Genomic DNA, 23,554 nt, shown 5'->3' on the forward strand with positions numbered 1-23,554 from the left:
GAACTCCTGACCTCATGATCCACCCACCTCTGCCTCCCAAAGTGCTGGGATTATAGGCGTGAGCCACTGCGACAGGCCTTTTTTGTTTTTTTCAGAGTCTCACTCTGTCACCTAGGCTGGAGTACAGTGGCGCCATCTCAGCTCTTTGCCTCCTGGGTTCAAGCAATTATCGTGCCTCAGCCTCCTAAGCAATATTTTTTTTTTTTTTTTTGAGATGGAGTCTCACTCTATCGCCCAGGCTGGAGTGCAGTGGTGCGATCTCGGCTCACTGCAAGCTCCGCCTCCTGGGTTCACACGATTCTCCTGCCTCAGCCTCCCGAGTAGCTGGGACTACAGGTGCCTGCCACCACACCCGGCTAATTTTTTGTATTTTTACTAGAGACGGGATTTCACCATGTTAGCCAGGAGTACCAGACCAGCCTTGCCAACGTGGTGAAACCCCGTCTCTCCTAAAAATACAAAAATTAGCCAGGCGTGGTGGCAGGTACCTGTAATCCCAGGTACTCGGGAGGCTGAGGCAGGAGAATCGCTTGAACCCGGAAGGGGGAGGTTGCAGTGAGCTGAGTTCATGCCATTGCACTCCAGCCTGGGGGACAAGAGTGAGACTTTGTCTCAAAAAAACAAAACAAAAAAAAAAAAAAAACACAACCTCTAAAATAATATTTTTTTTTATAGAGACAAGGTCTCACTGTGTTGCCTGGGCTGGTCTTGGACTCCTGAGCTCAAGTGATCCTCCCACCTTGGCCCCCCAAATTGCTCGGATTACAGGCATGAGCTACCACAACTAGCCTAAATTTAATATTTTCTTTGTTTTTTTTAGTTTGTTTTTGTTTTTTTTATTGAGATGGAGTCTCACTCTGTCGCCAAATTGGCTCACTGCAACCTCCACCTCCCTAGTAGATGGGATTACAGGCGCCCGACACCACATCTGGCTAATTTTTGTATTTTTAGTACAGATGGGGTTTCATCATGTTGGCCAGGCTGGTCTCAAACTCCTGACCTCAGGTGATACGCCCTCCTCGGATTCCCAAAGTGCTAGGATTACAGGCACGAGCTATCGTGCCTGGCCCTAAATTAAATTTTTAACAGGAGGATTAGAACCTGATTATAGACCAGGCAGGCAGGCAGATCACTTGAGGTCAGGAGTTCAAGACTAGCCTGGCCAACATGGTGAAACCTTATTTCTACTAAAAATACAAAAAATTAGCCAGTCATGGTGGTGGGTGTCTGTAATCCCAGCTGCTTGGAAGACCGAGGCAAAAGAATCACTTGAACCCAGGAGGCGGAGGTTACAGTTAGCCAAGACCATGCCACTGCACTCCAGCCCGGGTGACAGAGTAAGACTGCATCTCAAAAAAAAAAAAAAAAAAAAAAAAAAGAACCTGATTGCCTGATTGTAATCTTATAAAGTTACCAAAATAAACTTCGGGAGATAAAACGGAAGATACAGACTATTGGTCAAACTAGAGTCCTATCTCCTTACTGAGTTTAATGTTACATTTCCTAAAGAAAATGAACAATGACATATGATGAACTTACAGGCACTTTTCAAATTCCGGCAGAACAGTTCCTAATTGCATTCGCCGACGAGTCACATCAAATGGGTAGCTAAAAGAAGAAAAAGGCATAAAGAATTAAAAATTTTTGGTTTTCTACTCAACAACTATTGAATACAAAGCCCTATAAATTCAAAGAAATAACGTGTTACTGCTCTTATTGTTCTGTCTAACCTAGGAGTCGGGATATAGGCATATGAATAAAATCAATTAACAATACAGAAGTCTTTGCTTATGTGATCCCTCTGATTAGAGGATTCTTCTCTCCCATCACCGTAATATCAAGTTCTGTTCATTCCTAAAGGTCAAATTAAATGCCAGTTCCTGAAGAAACAAACTGGTTGCTTTTCATTGTTGAACACTAATATACAGTTTCCAACACTGGCACTACTGACATTTTCGGTTGGATCATCCTTTGTTGTGGGGAACTGTCCTGTGCACTAGAGATGTTTAAGCACATCCCTGACCTCTTCCCACTAGATGCCAGTAGCACTCTCCCAGCTGTGACAACCAAAAATGTCTCCAGACATTAACAAATGTCCACTGGTGGTAAAATCAACCCCAGTAGAGAACTGCTCTAATGCTATGCAGCAAGTCCCCTTGAATACAGTAGACCAATACAAAATTTTCCATAAGGGCTAAAACTAATAATACAGATAACTGCCTGAAATTAAATACACAATATACAAATGCAATCTCTCTTTTTTTTTTGAGATGGAGTCTCACTCTGTCGCCCAGGCTGGAGTGCAGTGACGCAATCTTGGCTCACTGCAACCTCCACCTCCCAGGTTCAAGCAATTCTCTGCCTCAACCTCCCGAGTAGCTGGGATTACAGGTGGCTGCCACCACACCCGGCTAATTTTTGTGTTTTTAGTAAAGACGGGTTTTCACCATGTTGGCCAGATGGTCTCAATCTCTTGACCTTGTGATCCACCCGCCTAAGCCTCCCAAACTGCTGGGATTACAGACGTGAGTCACCGCGCCCACCCTCTTTCTTTTTTTCTTAGGGGCAAGGTCTCACTATGTCTCCCAGACTGGCCTCAAACTCCTGGGCTCAAGCAATCCTCCTGCCACAGTCTCCCAAGTAGCTGGGACAATAGGCAGCACTACTGCATCCAAACATGTAATTATTTATAATATGCTTAAAGTGCACACACATCTGAAAAAATGTATTAAATTGAGACCTATATTTTGCAAGGATCCTCTTTTTGAATAATCTATTAGAAAAAATAAATGATTAAACAATGCTGAAAATCAGGACTGGGTAACTATAATTTGATTAAATTAAGTTAGTGAAGAAACTTACGATATTGTCTGCGCTATTGCTCCAGCAACACCACCACAAAGTAAGTTTACATGAGTTTTCAAAACTAAGACATTAGGATTGTCTGATGAAGGTCTGCCAAGAAGGGTAGGAGCATGGGAAAGCCCAACACTCTTCAAGGTACCAAAAGTAAAAAATGAAACACCTGAAAAACAAAAAATAAATTCACCATGATGCTTAACATAACATGAGCTGTGAAAAAGACACCATTCTTAAATAATAAACACATTTCCTAATTTCTGGTGTTTGGCTTAATTTAAAATAGAAAGATTTGTGTACATAAATAACCTAAAGATGACAAAATTACCACCAATAAAAAATTATAGCTTTGGTTTTCATGCACCACTGAAGTTTACTGCACTGAAGGAGGCTATAGTGAATATAATGCCACTTTATATGTGGAAAAAAAACAAAGTTTTCCAAGGTTTCACATGAGAAAAATTAAATTCATGATTATTAATTACAAGGAAATGTGACAACTTAACATTTAAAATAACAATGATGGCCGGGCGTGGTGGCTCACACCTGTAATCCCAACAATTTGGGAGGCTGAGGTGGGCGGATTACCTGAGGTCAGGCGTTCGAGATCAGCCTGACAAACATAGAGAAATCCCATCTCTACTAAAAATACAAAATTAGTCGGGTGTGGTGGCGCATGCCTGTAATCCCAGCTACTCGGGAGGCTGAGGCAGGAGAATCATTTGAACCCAGGAGGCGGAGTTTGCGGTGAGCTGAGATCACGCCATTGCACTCCAGCCTGGGCAACAAGAGCGAAACTCTGTCTCAAACACAAAACAAAACAAAACAAAAAAACAGTGATGGTGATAATGTAAGATACAGGCAAAAATTAAGAAGTGAAAAAGCATTTTTATTTTAACTAAGTGTCTAAGTTTGTCTTCAAGGAAGAATTGTGACCATGAGAGAAGCGTTTATGTTAATTCACAAAACACGTAGAATCTGATAAAAATAGTATGCAGGTAGTGCTTGTTAAACATTACATGATACTAGAACCATTAAGGTTGTTTATTAATAAAATTAAGAATGAAATTCAGGGAGGGAAAAAAGTAAATAAATATGAAATTCAAGCGTTCCTCCCAACTAAGCATTACTCAAGATATTGTGATGTTTATTGAATTGGCCAGGCGCGGTGGCTTATGCCTGTAATCCCAGCACTTTGGGAGGCTGAGGCAGGCAGATCACAAGGTCAGGAGTTTGAGACCATCCTGGCCAACATGGTGAAACCCTGTCTCTACAAAAAATACAAATATTAGCTGGGTGTGGTGGTGCGCGCCTGTAGTCTCAGCTACTCAGGAGGCTGAGGCAAGAGAATTGCTTGAACCCGGGAGGCGGAGGATGCAGTGATCTGAGATGGCAACACTGCACTCTAGCCTGGCAACAGAGCGAGACTCTGTCTCAAAAAAAAAAAAAAAAAAGGAAGAAAGATTCATAAGGGATTTCTCTTACCAAATATAAAGACTCATTATGAAACTGCCGTAGCCCATGTGGCAGCTCACACTTGTAATCCTAACACTTATGGAGGCTAAGGTGGGAGGATTGCTCAAGCTCAGGAGTTTGAGACCAGCCTGGGTAATATAGTGAGAACTCATCACTACAAAAAATGTTTTAAAGGAGGTAGATGCAGTGTTACGTGTCTGCAGTCCCAGTTACTCAGGCAGCTGACATGGGAGGATAACCTGAGCTGAGGGAGGTCAAGGCTGCAGTGAGCCACAATTGCACCACTGCACTCAGCTATGATTGCACCACTGCACTCCAGCCTGGGCAACACAGCGAGACTCTATGTCAAAGAAACAAACTCTGCACTAATATTATTTTTTTAAGATGACTGGGAAAAGAAGAGACTTTTTTTTTTTTTTTGAAACAGAGTTTTACTCTTGTCACCCAGGCTGGAGTGCAATGGTGCGATCTTAGCTCACTGCAGCCTCCGCCTCCTGGGTTCAAGCGATTCTCTTGCCTCAGCCTCCTGAGTAGCTGGGATTACAGGCGTGCGCCACCACGCCTGGCTAATTTTTGTATTTTTAGTAGAGATGGCGTTTCATCATGTTGGTCAGGTTGGTCTCAAACTCCTGACCTCATGATCCACTCCCCCTCGGCCTCCCAAACTGCTGGGATTACAGGTGTGAGCCACTGTACCCGGCCAGGGAAGAGACTATTTATAAAATGGTGCCAAGTCAAAAGTGAAGGGGAAAAAAAAAAACTTCCTTAACAAAGAAAACAAATACTTCCAGACAGATTAGTGGCATATATATAAAATGCTAAACGTTAAAAATCATTCTCAGAAGAAAATTTTTTTGACACAATAAAGACTATCCATAAAAGAATAGATTGATGCATTCGACTACCTTAAAATTTGAATTTCTTAACCACTAGAACAGCTAAAAAATATACTTTTTTTTTTTGAAACTGGGACAGGGTCTTACTCTGTCATTCAGGCTGGAGTAGAGTGGCATGATCACAGCTCGCTGAAGCCTCAACCTCCTAGGCTCAGGCAATCCTCTTAACTCAGCTTCTCAAGTAGCTGGGACCACCAAGCCTGGCTAATTTTAGAAAATTATTTGTAGAGACAAATTCTCCCCATGCTGCCAAGGCTGGTCTCAAATTCCTAGGCTCAAGTAATCCTCCTGCCTCAGCCTCCCAAAGTGCTGGGATTATAGGTGTGAGCCACCATGCCTGGCCACACCACATTTTAGTTTGCTATTAGTGCACTGTTTTTTTGTTGTTGCTTTTTTTTTTTCTTTTTTGAGACAGAGTTTTGCTCTTGTGGCCCAGACTGGAGTGCGATGGTGCAATCTTGGCTCACTGCAACCTCCGCCTCCTGGGTTCAAGTGATTCTCTGCCTCAGCCTCCCAAGTAGCTGGGATTACAGGCATGTGCGACCACGCCCAGCTAATTTTGTATTTTTAGTAGAGACGGTGTTTCTCCATGTTGGTCAGGCTGGTCTCAAACTCCTAACCTCAGGTGATCCACCTGCCTTGGCCTCACAAAGTGCTGGGATTACAGGCATGAGCCACCGCACCGGCCCTTGTTGTTGCTTTTTTGTTTGTTTGATTTTTAGAGACAAGGTCTCACTCTGTCACCCAGGAGGGTGTCCATTCTTTTGCATGAAGCTCCTACACTAGGCCCTAACAGACCAGACTAAAAATCAAAACAGAGTCACCATGCTTAAGTTCCACACTACCAAACTAAAACTAGTTGTTACCTGACCTCCTGAGAAATTAGGAGAAAGAAGTGACAGCCACTTTCTCTAACAGGCCAGTTTCAATCTTGAATAAGCTTGATAGTAAACTTCTCTCTGTTTGCTTGCTTGCTTGCTTGATTGATTGATTGATTGACTGATTGATTTAGAAATGGAGTCTCACTCTTTCGCCCAGGCTGGAGTGCAGTGGCGTGATCTCGGCTCACCACAACCTCCGCCTCCCGGGTTCAAATGATTCTCCTGCCTCAACCTCCTGAGTAGCTGGGATTACAGGCACACGCCACCAAGCCAGCTAATTTTTGTATTTTTAATAGAGATGGGGTTTCATCATGTTGGCCAGGCCAGTCTCAAACTCAGGTGATCCACCCGCCTTGGCCTCCAAAAGTGCTGGGATTACAGGCTTGAGCCACCACACCCGGCTCCTTTTGCTTTAATACTTACACAAAAAAGGTAGCCTAATATAACCTGAAGTTAACTAGTGATTTTTCTATTTTATTCTTCCTGTCCCCAACTTACAAGGATAGTAACTTTGAACTGAGCAACCTGATTGTTCATTGTTTCTGCTTTCTTCAACCCTTCCTCTATATAAAATCAACTCCTTCGGGTCTAGTCATTCCAACACTTACTCTATTTTTATGAAATGAAGTATTGCCCAATTCTAGAATTGCAAAATAAAGCCAACTGAGATGTTTAAACTAAACTGGCTGCAATTTTGTCTTGTAACATAACTGTATGTAAATCCACAATTACCTCAAAATAAAAAGTTTAGTTTAAAAAAAAAACAGGACTGCTGGGCACGGTGGCTAATGCCTGCAATCCCAGCACTTTGGGAGGCCAAGGCGGGTAGATCACCTGAGGTCGGGAGTTTGAGACCAGCCTGACCATGGGCAGGAGAATCGCCTGAACCCAGCAGGTGGAGGTTGCAGTGAGCCGAGATCACGCCATTGCACTCCAGCTTGGGCAACAAGAGCGAAACTCCGTCTCAAAAAACAAAAAAAAACAGGACTGTAAACAAGGTAATAAATGGAGATTAGAGAACTATAGGTATCCTTATTTTTCTTCTTTCTACTTTTCTATATTTTCAAAATTTGCCATGTCTTCATTATTTATAATGAGACAAAAACCACTTTTCAACTCCTATTTTTAATTAACATGCTCATAAAACCTAAATGTTTAACATCATCTAACGTAAGTGTGTGTTAACAAGACTACAGCTGGCTCAGATATTAAGAAAAAGATGTAAAGTACTTCTCCAATTATACACGAATAGTCATCTTTATATCCAAGATATTATTATGTGACCATCCATAAATCATTTCTTATTAAAAGTACTTAACAGATAACATCTTTTTATATTACCATTTCAGAAAAAAAAAAAAAAGGTAACAAATTTTAAACATGCATATTAGGATTCTGGCAAATTTGAAACATACCTGCATATGGAGCCATTCCTAAAATAGTAGGCATCAGACCTCTGTAAAATCCAAAGAAACCACCTTCCTTTTGAGTGAAGGAAAATTGCAAGTGAGATTACATTGTGCTCATTATCATAAACATCAAAGAAAAAATCACACTTTATAACAGAAAAATTATTCAGGGATCCACCCTGAAACACAAAGATGTGTTTTCGTAATTATTGTTATTAACATCAATAATTATAAGTAAAAGAATAATTACTTATATGACATTCAAAATATTTTCCTAAGTATAAAAGGGCATGTTATAGATGAGGAAGGTAAATATGAAATACCTTTGCATAAATTGTTTTGAAAGCATGAATAATTCCTGTATAGCTGTGTTCCCCTTTCACCTGGAATGCTAGGCGGACCCTAACCATGTCAAGAGGGTAAGTACAGATAACTGCTGTCATACCTGAAAAGAAAGTAGAAATTTAGAGGTACAATGAATTTTTGATATATACATATATTCCCCTATCATTAGTATTATTCTCAATATTATGGCAATGGTGAAAACCCAATAAAATCAAAGGTGATATTACTGACAGAATTATACCATATCATTAGATGGAAAACAACCTAGTAAGTGAAGGGTCAGTTTGTAAAAAATGTTTTCAAGTTCTTCTCACTGTGAAGTTATACTGTTAGCACCAAAATGGTACAGTGTACAGTGTAAGGGAATCATGAGATTTTTTTAAAAAAAATTATTCTACTATTTATGTATTCCCAGTTAAGATATCAGAAAGGAAACACAGTAGGCTCTCCTGATCCATTGTTTCCACATCCATGGATTGAAGCAACCATGGACGGAAAATGTAGTGAGGTCTACAATGGTTGCATCTGTAATGACCATGTACAGATTTTTTGGTCACTATTTCCTAAACCATATACTATAACAGGTATTTACATAGCATTTACATTATATTAGGTATTATAAGTAATCTACACCCAGCCCAACTCCATCTATTTCTTAATTCCTTTTCCCATGTTCCGAGTTTTCTGGTTACTGGCTGAAGGTGGTTTAATAGGCCAGGCGTGGTGGCTCACGCCTGTAATCCCAGCACTTTGGGAGGCCGAGGCAGGTGGATTATGAGGTCAAGAGATCGAGCCGTCCTGGCCAACATGGTGAAACCCCATCTCTACTAAAAATACAAAAATTAGCTGGGTGTGGCGGCACATTCCTGTAGTCCCAGCTAGTCGAGAGGCTGATGCAGGAGAATCACTTGAACCCAGGAGGCGGAGGTTGCAGTGAGCTAAGATCACGCCACTGCAGTCCGGCCTGGCAACAGAGTGAGATTCCAGGAAAGAAAAGAAAAGGAGGGGAGGGGAGGGAAGGGGAGGAGGGAGGGGAGGAGAGACGGGAGGGGAGGAGAGAGAGAGACAGAGAGAGAGAGAAAGGAAGGAAGGAAGGAAGGAAGAGGTTTAATAGAAAATCACTGTGGGAGCTAGGCATGCTCACGCCTGTAGTCCCAACACTTTGGGAGGCTGAGGTGGACAGATCACCTGAGGTCAGGAGTTCGAGACCAGCCTGGCCAACATGGTGAAACCCCATCTCTACTAAAAATAAAAAAATTAGCTGGGCCTGGTGGCACGCGCCTGTAGTCCCAGCTACTTGGGAGGCTGAGGCAAGAGAATCACTTGAACCCTCAGGAGGCGGAGGTTGCAGTGAGCCGAGATAGTGCCACTGCACTCCAGCCCGGGCGACAAGAGTAAAACTGCATCTAAAAAAAAAAAAAAAGTAAAAAGAAAAGAAAACAAAATCACTGTGGGAGTTAATGTAGTGGTTAAATAATGAATTGGTAGGAAACAAGAGTACCCAGAAATTTGTAAAGGTAAAGGAGGTGTGTGGGTACCATGGCTCACTCCTTTTAATCCCAGCACTTTGGGAGGCTGAGGTGAACAGATCGCTTGAGCCCAAAAGTTCGAGAACAGCCTAGGCAACATAGCAAAACTTCGTATTTATTTAAAAAATAGGCCGGATGTGGTGGCTCACACCTGTAATCCCAGCACTTTGGGAGACCGAGGTAGGCGGATCACTTGAGGTCAGAAGTTCCAGACCAGCCTGGCCAATATGGTGAAACCCCATCTCTACTAAAAATACAAAAATTAACCAGGTGTAATGGTGGGCACCTGTAATCTCAGCTACTCTACTCGGGAGGCTGAGGCAGGAGAATCCTTGAACCTGGAAGGCAGAGGTTGCGGTGAGCCAAGATGACACCACTGCACTCCAGCCTGGGTGACACAGCCAGACTCTGTCTCAAAAAATAATAATAATAAACTATTAACTTTTGACTTATAATCAAAATTGACCAAAATGGTCAAAAGTTAAAAGAGTATATACTCTAGGGCCGGAAACAGTGGCTCACGCCTGTAATCCCAGCACTTTGGGAGGCCAAGGTGGGTGGATCACTTGAGACCAGGAGTTGGAGACCAGTCTGGGCAACACAGTGAAACCCTGTCTCTACTAAAAACACAAAAATTAGCCAGGCATGATGGTGGGTACCTGTAATCCCAGCTACTCAGAAGGCTGAGGCAGGGAATCCTTGAACCCGGGAGGCAGAGATTGCAGTGAGCCGAGATCATGCCACTGCACTCCAGTCTGGGCAACAGAGTTAGACTATGTCTCAAAAAAAAAAAAAAAAAAAAGAGAAAAGAGTATAAACTGTAGAGTGCACCTCCTTGTTTCAAATTAGACTCTACTACTAACTAGATATATGACCCTGATCAAGTTACTTAACCTGGGTTTCAATCCTGTTATCTGTCAAATGAGTATCATAATAAGTGGGTACCCAAATCAGGGTTTTGTAAAGATTAGGTGAGCTAACATATGTAAATGCTTAAAATAATTCCTGGTACACAGTAAAGGTTATATATGTGTTAGCTATTATTCTCATGTATTCTATTGAAACTATGTACTTTGTTACCCTTTCCTTTGAGAATCAATTCATTTATCTCCTCTTCTTGCATCCCCTTGCCCCCCATCTGTCTCCTGCACATCAAAGCTCACAAATTTGAATTAAAAGGGAAGCACAATCAGAGAATTACTGAAGAGGAATATGTAACAACGTGGGAATTCAGCTTGCCTGCTGCTAGTAATCAGACTGACATCCATAACAATCATTCAGAGGGTGACTGAGGTTTTCAATTCATGAAGCTACAGTCTCCCATTGGGCCTCTTTTCTCCATTCACACACTCCTTACTATTCTACCTAACACTTCTTTTAAGAAGGCCAAAAAAGCCCTCGATGTACAAATAAGGCAAATCAGAAACTGCTTACCTTGAATAGTGGTGGTAACAGCTTTCTTCTTCCCTCAGTTTACAACTACAATCCAATACAAATAGTAGAATATGTTTACCTACCAGGAAGCAATGAGACTCAATCAAGCTGAGACTTGCTTTCAATTTTTATGAATGTGCAAACTCTTCTCTTTCCCTCTCTTAAGTCAAGAAACTAAGGACATAAAGATAAATCTAAACAAAGTCAGACTTTTTTCTCTAAATTCTCATCATCTTACTGTCTCTACAGTCTAGAATCCCAGGAGTTATGGGAAACCTGAGAACATATTTTAACCAGCAATTACATTAGAAATCATATTTAGAAAGTATGGTAATTATGAATTATTTATTGTGTTCCAGAAATAAACACAAAAGACTTTTTTTCCTCTTTTTGTTGAGATGGGGTCTCGCTCTGTCACCCAGGCTGGAATGCAGTGGTGTGATCACTGCACACTGCAGCCTCAAACTCCTGGGCTCAAATGTTCCTCCTACCTCAGCCTCCTAAGTTGCTGGGATCACAGGTGTGCATCACCTGACCTAGCTACAAAGGATTTCTTAAAAAAGGAACTAACATTACAAGGAGAGAGTAAAGGGAAGGAAGAAATTAAGATTAGAAATTGCATAATACAGGGTTGAAGTATATGGACATTTACAGACCCTCATCAATTCATCCTCTCCCGCAACTTCTCAATGAATACGGAAGTGGATTTGTTCTCAAAGACAGCTTCTCACCACCCTCCATTCCCATCTGAGGCTGACATAGTGGGAGCAGCATCCAGAGTCCATGTACATATTCAAAGAGATTAAAGTTTGACAAAAATACATAGATTCTAAATATATACTTTAGACAAAAGAAGGACTCCAAGCGTCATAGATACAAAAACTAAGCCACAAAGCTAAACAAATTGGTCTGGAGTAGGAGTCCAGTTCTATAATAGTTTGTCCTTTGGGAACACGTTACTACTTCAAGGTTGACTAAATATCAGTTATGAACAACCAAAATACACCTGTCTATAGTTGTGTGCAATCTCTGATGAGTGTGACAACTAAAACTATGTTCTTAGAGTAGGATCTAGTGAGAAAAAATTCAGTTATGACACTCATGAGCCACAATAGAAACCATTATAACACAAAAGAATAACTGTATGTCTTTTTCTTCTTACTTCTAACATCTTTTTTTTTTTTTTAATTTTTTTTTTTCCAAGATGGAGTCTTGTTCTGTTACCCAAGCTGGAACGCTGTGATGTGATCTCAGCTCATTGAAACCTCCGCCTCCCGGGTTCAAGCAATTCTCCTGCCTCAGCCTCCCAAGTAGTTGGGATTACAGGTGTGCGTCAAGACACCTGCCTAATTTTTGTATTTTTAGTAGAGATGGGGTTTCACCATGTTGGCCAGGCTGGTCTTGAACTCCTGACCTCATGATCCACCCCAGCTTGACCTCCCAAAATGCTAGGATTACCCACCGTACTCTGCCTTTATTTTTATTTTTGAGGAAATGGGGTCTCATTGTGTTGCCCAGGCTAGTCTTGAATTCCTGGGCTCAAGCAATCCTCCCTCCTTAGCCTCCCAAAGAACTGGGTTTATAGAGTGAGTATATGCCTTTTGTGCAGGATTCTCACACAGAAATCACAGATCTCTGATACCTGTACAACGTAAGTAAAAAAGCCAAAGGACTTAAGAGTAGAGGCCTAAGCATCATGCCGCTCCCCCACTCCCACAAATCAGGACTCAAATTCTATTAATCAGAACTTACCTACATTCCAATTTTCAAAAATTCAAGAGTTGGACTACCAGCTCAGAAGAGCAATTTTTCCAAACACGTAGGAAGCTTGTTGCTTTTGAATTCTGGATCAGAGCTCAAGGGAGATATTTTTTTATTTTTAACTTTTTCTTTTTTTTTTTTTTTGAGACAGAGTCTCATTCTGTCACCGTGCCCGGCCCTAGAATTCCCTTTTAAATATAAAAGTATTTGGAAGGCCAGGCGCAGTGGCACGTGTCTGTAGTCCTAGCTACTTGGGAGGTTGAGATGGGAGGATTGCTTCAGGCCAGGAATTCAAGACCAGTCTGAGCAAAATAACTTCTCATTTTTCTGTCTCTACAAAAAAAAATTAAAATTAGCCAGGCGTGATGGCATGTGCCTGCAGTCCTGGTTACCCAGGAGGCTGAGCGGGGAGGACTGCTTGAGCCCAAGAGTTAGAGGCTGCAGTAACTATCATCTCAGCACTGCACTCCAGCCTGGGCAACAGAGCAAAACCCTGTCTCTGAAAAAAAGAAAACAAAAAGTTATTTGGGAAAGGTGCCTACAAGCCTCTTTGAGATCCTCAAAGTACAGTGAGCACGTGGTTCTAATAATCATTGGAGTATACCGTATGGTCATTCTGGTTGCAGATGTCCAGCCTCTGCTGTGATTGGCTACTGCCTTTGCCATAGTGGTTGTTAAATATTTTGAATATCACCATTATTTACAACTAAAATATTCCCTACATTACAAATGAAACAAAAAGGAGAATAAAGAATTCAGGTTGCTGACTTAAAAGCATCCAAAAAGTCATTGGCATGGAAGGATTAATAACATTCCCTTGTGTTCATGGAGGACTTCAGATCTTTCAGACTATTTTTACAGCAATTCTTTATGCTGACCCTCAGAACAACTGAGATAGAGGAGAAAGAATGGGAAAAAGGAGGGTTGGGGGAGAGAGAGAGAGAGAAACCACAAGCTCCTCTTTAACAAACATACAGGCAAGTTACAGAGGTTTTGGGTGATCTGCCCATGGTCAAAGGGAAGGTGAGTAACGGAGGCCAGGCAGGATCCCAGCAAGTGTTCTGTCCACTCAATCACCAAGCTTTGGACCGGAACAGCAAGTAGGAGCAGACCAAAGAGCACAACAAGCGGAACTCAGCTCATCACTTCTAGGTTCTAACACTTTCCTTCTTTTTTTCTCTACTCTTTATCTTGTCACGTTTAGTTCCATGGAAACTGGCAGAGCCAGATGGATTTCAGACAACTAAAACATACGTGGGGAAAGAAGGAGACCTTCCTTAAAAATACAAACCCTTCTCTTCCCTTTTGCGGCCATCACCGAAGCAGGAGCAGCCAAAATGAAGTTCAATCCCTTTGTGACTTCCAACCGAGGCAAGAAACGCAAAAGGCGTTTCAATGCAATATCCAACATTAGCAGGAAGATTATGTCTTCCCCTCTTTCCAAAGAGCTGAGACAGAAATACAATGTGTGATCCATGCCCATCCGAAAGGTTTTGATGAAGGTCAGGTTGTATGAGGACACTATAAAGGTCAGCAAATTGGCAAAGTAGTCCAGGCTTACAGGAAGAAATGTCATCTACACTGAATGAGTGCAGTGGGAAAAGGCTAATGGTACAACTATCCATGTAGACATTCACCACAGCAAGTGGTTCTCACTAGGATAAAACTGAACAAAGACGGCAAAAAGATTCCTGAACAGAAAGCCAAATCTCGCCAAGTAGGAAAGGAAAAGGGCAAATACAAGGAAGAAACAATTGAGAAGAGGCAGGAATAAAGTAATCTTATATACAAGCTTTGATAAAAACTCGAAATAAAAAAAAGAAAATACAAACCTTGATCTCAATCTTTAGGTTTCCTTTTGCTGGCCAACTGAGATTTAGTATGTATTGGATTATAGTTGTAGGACGAGGGACAGGGAAAAGTTTTTAAAAAGCTTTAAAATAAGCTACATTAAAATGATCATTAAAAACACCACTTTTTACTTTGGCAAATATAAAATTTCCAAAGTTACATTTAGAAGCCTTATCAAAAGTAGAGGAGCAAAGATACCAGACATAAATTAATCATAAGATCCATTTCAAGTGTTTCAATCACAGGAGAAAAATATAAATTGTAATTACTTAAACATATTTATACAAAGTCTAGCTCTGTTGCCAACGCTGGAGTGTAGTAACGCGATCTGGGCTCACTGCAACCTCCACCTCCCAGGTTCAAGCGATTCTCCTGCCTCAGCCTCCCACGTATCTGGGATTACAGGCGCCAACCACCATGCCTGGCTAATTTTTGTATTTTTGCTACAGACAGGGTTTCACCATGTTGGCTAGGCTGGTCTCAAACTCCTGATCTCAGGTGATCCACCTGCCTTGGCCTCCCAAAGTGCTGGGATTACAGGCAAGAGCTACTGTGCCCGGCCCTGAATTAAATTTTTAACAGGAGGATTAGAACCTGATTATAGGACAGGCACCATGGCTCACACCTGTAATCCTAGCACTTTGGGAGGCCAAGGCAGGTAGATCACCTGAGGTCCGGAGTTTGAGACCAGCCTGGCCAACATATTGAAACCCCCATCTCTACTAAAAATCCAAAAATTAGCCAGGTATGTGGCACGTGCCCGTAATCCCAGCTACTAAGGAGGCTGAGGCAGAAGAATCTCATGAACCCAGGAAGCGGAGGTTGCAATGAGCTGAGATTCCATCACTGCACTCCAGCCTGGGCGACAGAGGGAGACTCCGTCTCAAAAAAAGAAGAAAAAAGATAATTACAAAGTGATATACAGGATGCGTGCGGTGACTCACACCTGTAATCCCAGCACTTTGGAGGGCCGAGGTGGGCGAATCACCTGAGATCAGGAGTTTGAGACCAGCCTGGACAACATGGTGAAACCCCGTCTCTACTAAAAACACAAAAATTAGCCAGGCATGTGGCACACACCTGTAATCCCAGCTACTCGGGAAGCTGAGACTGGAGAATCGCTTGAACCCAGGAGGTGGGGGTTGCAGCGAGCCGAGACTGTGCCACTGCACTCCAACCTGGGCGACAGAGAGGGACTCCATCTCAAAAAAAAAAAGTGATATACAAAATAACACATTGAAAAATTTGGAAACTTTCTCACATTGCTCTTCTGTAAAATGAAGATAAATCATAGAGCTTTCCTCATAATATTGTCCTGTGGACTCCATGTCGAGTGTCCAAATATTACATGTCAAGAGTTCTGTCAGCCAGGCTGAGTGTAAACTCATCCCACTACTCAGCCTGGGTAACAGAACAAGAGCCTATCTCAAAACAAACAAACAAACAAAAACAAAAAAAAAAGGAAAGTGAGAAAAAGGAGAGAAAGAGGAGAAGAGGAGAGGAGAGAATGAGGGGAGGGGAGAGGAGGGGAGGGAAGAGGAGGGAAGGGAAGGGAAGGAATGTTGGGAGAATTTGACTCAAAATTTGAATGTTCAAATGGGTGCAGTAGTGTGTGCCTCTAGTCCCAGCACTTTGGAGGCTGAGGCAGGAAGATCACTTGAATCCAGGAGTTTAAGCCATCCTGGGCAACGGAGCAAGACTCCATCTCTAAAATAACTTTTTTTGGCAAAAAAGTTACGTGAGCGAATAATGTTGGCACAACTGACAAGTCATATGGAAAACTTATTCCATCCATCCCTCACTCCCTCTACAAAAGTAAACATAAGATCAACATGCCAAAACAAATAGTTTTAGTAGAAAAACATGACTAGGGCCGGGCACGGTGGCTCATGCCTGTAATCCTACATTTTGGGAGGCCAAGGCGGGTGGATACCTGAAATCAGGAGTTCAAGACCAGCCTGGCCAATGTGGCAATACCCCATTTCTACTAAAATACAAAAATCAGCCGGGCATGGTGGTGTGAGCCTGTAATCCCAGCTACTGGAGGGCTGAGGCAGGAGGATTGCTTGAACCTGGGAGGCAGAGGTTGCAGTGAGCTGAGATTGTGGCAGTGAGCTGAGATCGTGCCACTGCACTCCAGCCTGGGCAACAGAACAAGACTCCGTCTCAAAAAAAAAGAAAAAGTAAAACATGATTAAATGTCTTTACCTTAGAACGGGGAGAAAATTTCTACATACAACACAAAATTTAGAAGTACCAGAGGAAAAAAACTAACATGTTTGGCCATGTAAAACTTCTCTATAGGGAAAAAAATCTTGGATGATTTTTTTTAAAAAATCATAGAACCGAAGGTCAAATCTAAAACTGGGAAATAAAATATTAACAATATCTGAAAGAAAAACAACTAATGTCCTAACTCCCAAACTCAGAAAAATGAATATTTAAAAAACAGAAATAGGCCAGGTGAGAATTTGAGGAGTTTGAGACCAGCCTGGGCAACATGACAAATGCCCGTCTCTACAGAGAATACAAAAATTAGCTGGGTGTGGTGGCATGTGCCTATAGTTCCAGCTACTTTTGGGAGGCTGAGATAGGAGGATGGCTTGAGCCTGGGAAGTGAGGGCTGCAGTGAGTTGTGATCACGCCACTGCACTCCAAGTCTGGGAGACAGACCCAGACCCTGTCTCAAAAAAGGAGAGGAGAGGAGAGGAGGGGAGGGGAGGGGAGAAGAAAAGAGGGGAGGGGAGGGGTAGGGAGGGAAGCGGAGGGGAAAGGAGGGGGAGGGGAGGGGAAAGGAGGGGGAGGGGGAAGGGAAAGGAGGGGGAGGGGAGGGGAAAGGAGGGGGAGGGGAGGGGAAAGGAGGGGGAGAGGAGGGGAAAGGAGGGGGAGGGGAGGGGAAAGGAGGGGGAGGGGAGGGGAAAGGAGAGTGGAGAGGAGAGGGAAGAGGAGAGAGAAGAGAGGGAAAGGAAAGGAGAAGGAAAGAAATTGCTAATCATGGTTGTCTCTAGAGAATGCAACTATTTTTACTGTATAGGAGCAGTTATTACTTTAGTCATTATAATTCGTTACAATTTTTTTAAAGAAAAAAGAAATTTTGAAAAGTAATGGCTGGTCCAAGTGAAGTGCAGTGATGTTTAAAACTCATTGATCACAGTCAGTTACAGTTTTCTTTGTTTTTTTCTCCACTCACACTGCATTACATGACTAGCCTTCAGAAAAATGTTTTTTAATTTTTAAACATTTCCAAAAGTAGAATTGTCAAAGAGAATGCAAGCTTTTCACATAGTTATAAGTTGAGACTACTCCTTATCCTCTACTGTAAAATGACTCTTTTTCAGTTGGCGTACTGATAATTTCATATATATAACTGAATATAGAAAAACAACAAATGTGTGCTACTAAATCAATGTCACACTTTTTATTTTAATACATACCTTTTTTTGAGGATGCACCCAGGAAAAAATACAAGTCACAGGACACCTGCAACCTGTGCTTTCCCCAATGGCACTCATATAATCTAAACCAAATTAAATATTTTAATAGAAAATTAATTTGTCAGAAATAAAATATACCTAACTCCTCTTACCTGCCATGGATCCAGCCATTAATCTGTGCACATGACCTGAAATTCCCAGCTTCGTAGTAATTAACTAGAAAACAAGAACACTGAATTAAATGAGATATTTTTTAAATGCTGCCCATTTCACTGTTTAATAATGAAGATTTATTTCAAGAGTTACAGGACTAATAAAAAGGAAATTAATAATAAATGTGAACGAAATGAGCACAATTAAATACAGCTTGGCAGTGTTATATCACAGCAGAAGGGGATATTTCCTCTGTAGTCTCTGCTTTAATTTTTTGCATTTCTGCAGAAGCAAGCTAGCTTAGTATTGCTAAGTATATGATACTGTGTATTAAGGAACACAAGCCCTTAACAAGTGACTGGGGGTAGTAGGAATAAACTGCTACTTTTTTTTTTTTTTTTTTTTTTTTTTGAGATGAAGTCTCGCTCTGTGTCCCAGGCTGGATTGCAGTGGCACGATCTCGGCTCACTGCAACCTAGATTCAAGCGATTCTCCTGCCTCGGCCTCCCAAGTAGCTGGGACTACAGCCGTGTGCCATTACGCCCGGCTAATTTTTTATTTTTTAGTAGAGACGGGGTTTCACCACATTGGTCAGGCTGGTCTCGAACTCCTGACCTCAGGTGATCCACCCACCTCGGCCTCTCAAAGTGCTGGGATTATAGGCTGAAGCCACCGCACCCAGCCTAATTTTTTATTTTATTTTTTAAATGCTCTATAGACAATGAAGTCCTGATACACAAATGGCATCAATTCTCTTTGGCTGACTAGCTTAGAATGTTGTTCCGATCTCTGCTGCTTGTGTTTTTTTTGTTTTTTTTTTTGAGACAGAGTCTGGCTCTGTCGCCCAGGCTGGAGTGCAGTGGTGCGATCTCGGCTCACTGCAAGCTCCGCCTCCTGGGTTCACACCATTCTCCTGCCTCAGCCTCCTGAGTAGCTGGGTTTCACCATGTTAGCCAGGATGGTCTCGATCTCCTGAACTTGTGATCCGCCCGCCTCGGCATCCCAAAGTGCTGGGGATTACAGGCATGAGCCACCGCACCCGGCCTTGTTTTTTGTTTTTTGTTTTGATTCGGAGTCTCACTCTGTCACCCAGGCTGGAGTGCAATGGCACGATCTTGGCTCACTGCAACCTCCGTATCCCGGGTTCAAGCGATTATCCTGCCTCAGCCTCCTGAGTAGCTGGGATTATAGGCATGCGCCACCACATCCAGCTAATTTTGTATTTTTAGTAGAGAAGGGGTCTCTCCATGTTGGTCAGGCTGGTCTCAAACTTCCGACCTCAGCTGATACTCCCACCTCGGCCTCCCAAAGTGCTGTGATTACAAGCATGAGCCACTGTGCCCAGCCAGTTTCACTATTTTGTTTAATAAGAAAATCCAAAGTCACAGTGTTCCTCTCCTACAATTGAGTAACAAAAAGCACACTAAAGGCTGGGGCCCACAGATAGCTTGGGCCCAGGAGTTCGAGACTAGCATGGGCAACACAGTGAGACCCCATCTCTACAAAATATTTTTTAAAAAATCAGCCAGGCCTCTTCTCCACCTCTGAAAAAGAAAGAAAAAACAAATTAGCCGGGGGTGGTGGCACATGCCTCTAGTGCCAGTTACTCAGGAGGCTGAAGTGGGAGAATTGCTTGAGTCCGTGAGGTTGAGGCTGCAGTAAGCCAGGACCACATCACTGCACTCCAGCCTAGGTGACAGAGAAACTATCTCAAAAAAGAAAGAAAAGAAAAGAAAAGAGGGAGGGAAGGAGGGAAGGGAAACACATTAAAAATATATTAATATTATATGGATTTATTATTATCTTCTTTAAAGATATTCTAGCTCTCATTCATTAGGAGTGAACATAAAGAATTTACTTGGCCGGGTGCAGTGGCTATGCCTGTAATCCCAAGAATTTGGGAGGCCAAGGTGGGCAGATCACCTGAATCAGGAGTTCCAGACCAGCCTGACCAACATGGTGAAACCCCGCCTCTACTAAAAATACAAAATTAGCCAGGAATGGTGGTGCATGCCTGTAAGAATCTGGGAGGCAGAGATTGCAGTGAGCCAAGATCATGTCATTGCACTCCAGCCTAGGGAACAAAAGTGAAACTCCGTCTGAAAAAATAAATAAATAAAGGCCGGGCACGGTGGCTCAAGCCTGTAATCCCAGCATTTTGGGAGACGGAGGCGGGTGGATCACGCGGTCAGGAGTTCAGGACCAGCCTGGCCAAGATGGTGAAACCCCATCTCTACTAAAAATACAAAAATTAGCTGGGTGTGGTGGCGGGCGCCTGTAATTCCAGCTACTCAGGAGGCTGAGGCAAAGAACTGCTTGAACCCAGGAGATGGAGGTGGCAGTGAGCCAAGAGTGCACCACTGCACTCCAGCCTGGGCAACAGAGTGAGACTCCATCTCAAAAAATAAAATTAAATAAATAAATAAATAAATAACTCATAAATGACTAACAATTCTGGAATCGGTAATTCCAAAGACAAGTTATATTTAAAATCTTAAGCTGTCACAAGTCTTATTCCTTTAAAAAGGCATTGCTATATCAAAAGTAACTTTTTGGCCTGGTACCATGGCTCATGCCTGCAATCCCAACACTTTGGGAGGCCAGGAGTTTGAGACAAGCCTGGCCAAAATGGCAAAACGCTGTCTCTACTAAACATACAAAAATTAGCCAGGCATGGTGGCATAGGCCTGTAATCCCAGCTACTCAGGAGGCTGAGGCAGGAGAATCGCTTGAACCCAGGAGGCGAGGTTGCAGTGAGCCTTTCAAAATCGTGCCACTGTACCCCAGCCTGGGCAGCGAGACTCTGTCTCAAAAATTAAAAAAAAAAAACCAATAATTTAACTTTTTAAAAATATGAAACTTTTACATATTTTTAAATGTCCAAAGCAAATGCCTGGTCAAGCATGCATGATATTCAAGAACGCAAAAGAGAAAAGATCAAAGTTTAACTACCGTTTTATAATGCTCAAATGCCATAAACTGGATTGCACCATAGGGAAAGATTCGAATCATCATTGCACCATTTCCTTTATACAATCCAAGGAATCCTTCTTTTTGAGGAACAGCACGCAATGCAGAAAATACTCCTATTTTTAGAGGAAAAATGCTGTTAAAACAGAGAAAATTATCTAAACCTAAATTTTCATGACAATCACAGATAAAGATTAATGTGCCATCACTCAAGATATAATTTTGCTTGAGGGATTACATGAATAGTAATTTCTATAAAACAGTTAAACCTACTAAAAATGCATCATATATCCAAATAATATAAATAAGCACACCCCATATAATATAAAACCTACTGTAGAAACAACTACAAATTACAGCAAATTCTATTTATAATAATAGCAAATTATATTAAACTATAGCAATCTAAAAAATATTAACAATAGAAATATATGCAAGGTCCAGGTTTGCACTAAAGATGACCTACTCTTTTTTTTTTTTTTTTTTTTTGAGACAGTTTTACTCATGTTGCCCCAGCTGGAGTGCAGTGGCGCGATCTGGGCTCACTGCAACCTCCGCCTCCCAGGTTCAAATGATTCTCCTGCCCCAGCCTCCCAAGTAGCTGGGATTACACGCGCCCGCCACCACACCCGGCTAATTTTTGCATTTTTAGTAGAAACGGGGTTTCACCATGTTGGCCAGGCTGGTCTCAAACTCCTGACCTCGTGATCCACCCGTCTCGGCCTCCCAAAGTGCTGGGATTACAGGCGTGACCCACTGCACCTGGCCCTGAAGATGATCTACTCTTTATCTGGAAGGATGAAGGAAGGTTTCAGAGGCCTACCCAGATACATGTGTTTTGTTTGTTTACATAAAGAGATTTTTAAATAAAACAAGCAAATAAAAAGACTACCTATTAATACTCTTTAAGTGTGGGGGCAAATTTTCATTATTAGGACACTTTAGGAATAATGATAAACAAAGGGCTGAGTTGTAATCTATATACAGTGATATTCTGAGCTTTCTAACTGACAAGTAAAAAATATATAGACACATCTATATATAGTGATATCTTTATTACTCTATTAACATCAGTCACTAATCCTACAAGCAGTATACAGACTTCTCAAAAACATATTACTACTTCCATTATTCAACAATTTAAATTCAGGTTCCCTTTCAAATTTTTCAAGCAAACTTTTGATCAAATATGAAAGGAAATCACCAGGTTCATTTCAAATTTTAGACTGCAAATAACCTCTTCAGCCCTTCTCAGTAATTAAAATTGTAGGTACTTATTAACATCCAAAAGATATATCCCAAAAGCAGATATCGAAATGGACTAACATTCTGGTAAGAAGAATTCTGGCCTTGCGTGGTGGCTCATGCCTGTAATCCCAGCACTTTGGGAGGACAAGGCAGGTGGATCACCTGAGGTCAGGAGTTTGAGACCAGCCTGGGCAATATGGTGAAACCCTGTCTCTACTAAAAATACAAAAATTAGGCAGGCATGGTGTCGTGCGCCTGTAATCCCAGCTACTCAGCAGACTGAAGCAGGAGGTAGAGGTTGCAGTGAGCCGAGATTGCACCACTACACTCCAGCCTGGGTGATAGAGTGAGACTCCATCTCAAAAAAACAAACAAAAAGATAACTGCTTGTTTGAACAAAAATTATGGCAATGCAATCTGGAGTTTATGACATATGTAAAAAGTAAAATGTATGACTATAATAACAGAAAGAAGAGTTCATACCAATAAAACTGTCAATTCATCGAGAGAACAGAGGATACAAAATGTGGATAGGAGAGTAACAGGAAGCTTTAAAAAAAAAAAAAAAAAAAAGAATTCTAGGCCAGGCGGGGTGGCTCAAACCTGTTATCTCAGCATTTTGGGAGGCCGAGGAGGGTGGATCACCTAAGGTTGGGAGTTCGAGACCAGCTTGACCAACATGGAGAAACTCCCGTCTCTACTAAAGATACAAAAAAAATTATCTGGGCATGGTGGCGGGTGCCTGTAATCTCAGCTACTGGGAAGGCTGAGGCAGGAGAATCGCTTGAACCCGGGAGGCGGAGGTTGCAGTGAGCCGAGATTGTGCCATTGTACTCCAGCTTGGGCAACAAGAGGGAAACTCCATCTCAAAAAAAAAAGAATTCTATTAAAACTTCCTTTTGCTGGAAGCGGACACAAAGGTTAAGCCCTGTTTAATTTGATCCAAAAGTGTTTGTAATAATTAAAGGGTAATCAAATTTAGAGTAATGATTACCTAGCAGAGACAGGAAGGCTAATGATAAGGTAGAAGTATCGAGGGGGTTTCAACTACACTGACAATGTTTATTTCCAAAGCTCTGTTGCAGGTCCACATATGTTTATTATGTTATTACTTAAAATTTTTTGATTGTCGCCAATTTTGTTAAAAGCATTTTAAGAGAAACCATTAGTAGAAGTGAAATAGATACAGTACTTCTAAAATTAAGGGCCGGGCGCGGTGGTTCATGTCTTTATTCCTAGCACTTTGGGAGGCAGAGGCAGCGGATCACTTGAGGTCAGGAGTTCAAGACCAGCCTGACCAACATGGGG

General features: G+C 42.0%; 1 protein-coding gene and 1 pseudogene across 7 annotated transcripts in view, besides 3 other annotated features; one reads left to right on the forward strand and one right to left on the reverse strand.

Annotated features, from left to right (window-relative positions):
* SLC25A16 (solute carrier family 25 member 16) overlaps positions 1-23,554 on the reverse strand; it is a 49,526-nt gene that overhangs the window by 7,607 nt on the left and 18,365 nt on the right. For 4 of the 7 annotated variants that reach the window (NM_152707.4, NM_001324314.2, NM_001324315.1 and 1 more), the window contains 6 exons: positions 20,981-21,114; positions 18,028-18,091; positions 7,845-7,966; positions 7,528-7,594; positions 2,863-3,025; positions 1,540-1,608 (listed from right to left, as the gene is read on the reverse strand). In NM_152707.4, coding sequence (NP_689920.1) covers positions 1,540-1,608; positions 2,863-3,025; positions 7,528-7,594; positions 7,845-7,966; positions 18,028-18,091; positions 20,981-21,114 — 619 coding nt within the window. Of the gene's footprint in view, positions 1-1,469; positions 1,609-2,862; positions 3,026-7,527; positions 7,595-7,844; positions 7,967-18,027; positions 18,092-20,980; positions 21,115-23,554 lie in introns of those variants that run through there. The other 3 variants (NM_001324313.2, NR_136737.1, NM_001324317.2) reach the window with 3 other exon arrangements.
* Positions 10,365-10,534: an enhancer, noted in NCBI's record as "experimental_16712 CRE fragment used in MPRA reporter constructs". NCBI's record gives its function as "activates a minimal promoter by MPRAs in K562 erythroleukemia cells, with activity observed for both the introgressed and non-introgressed 10:70255811 variant alleles {active_cell/tissue: K562}" and the evidence as "EXISTENCE:reporter gene assay evidence [ECO:0000049][PMID:34662402]".
* Positions 10,365-10,965: a biological region, named in NCBI's record as "OCT4-NANOG hESC enhancer GRCh37_chr10:70255753-70256326".
* Positions 10,392-10,965: an enhancer, noted in NCBI's record as "OCT4-NANOG hESC enhancer chr10:70255753-70256326 (GRCh37/hg19 assembly coordinates)". NCBI's record gives its function as "activates a minimal SCP1, AML or CMV promoter by ChIP-STARR-seq in naive H9 embryonic stem cells {active_cell/tissue: H9 hESC(naive)}" and the evidence as "EXISTENCE:reporter gene assay evidence [ECO:0000049][PMID:30033119]".
* On the forward strand, positions 13,886-14,405 carry RPL26P27 (ribosomal protein L26 pseudogene 27; annotated as a pseudogene).

Source organism: Homo sapiens, chromosome 10 (genome assembly GCF_000001405.40).
Source record: "Homo sapiens chromosome 10, GRCh38.p14 Primary Assembly".
NCBI classification, from domain to species: domain Eukaryota; kingdom Metazoa; phylum Chordata; class Mammalia; order Primates; family Hominidae; genus Homo; species Homo sapiens.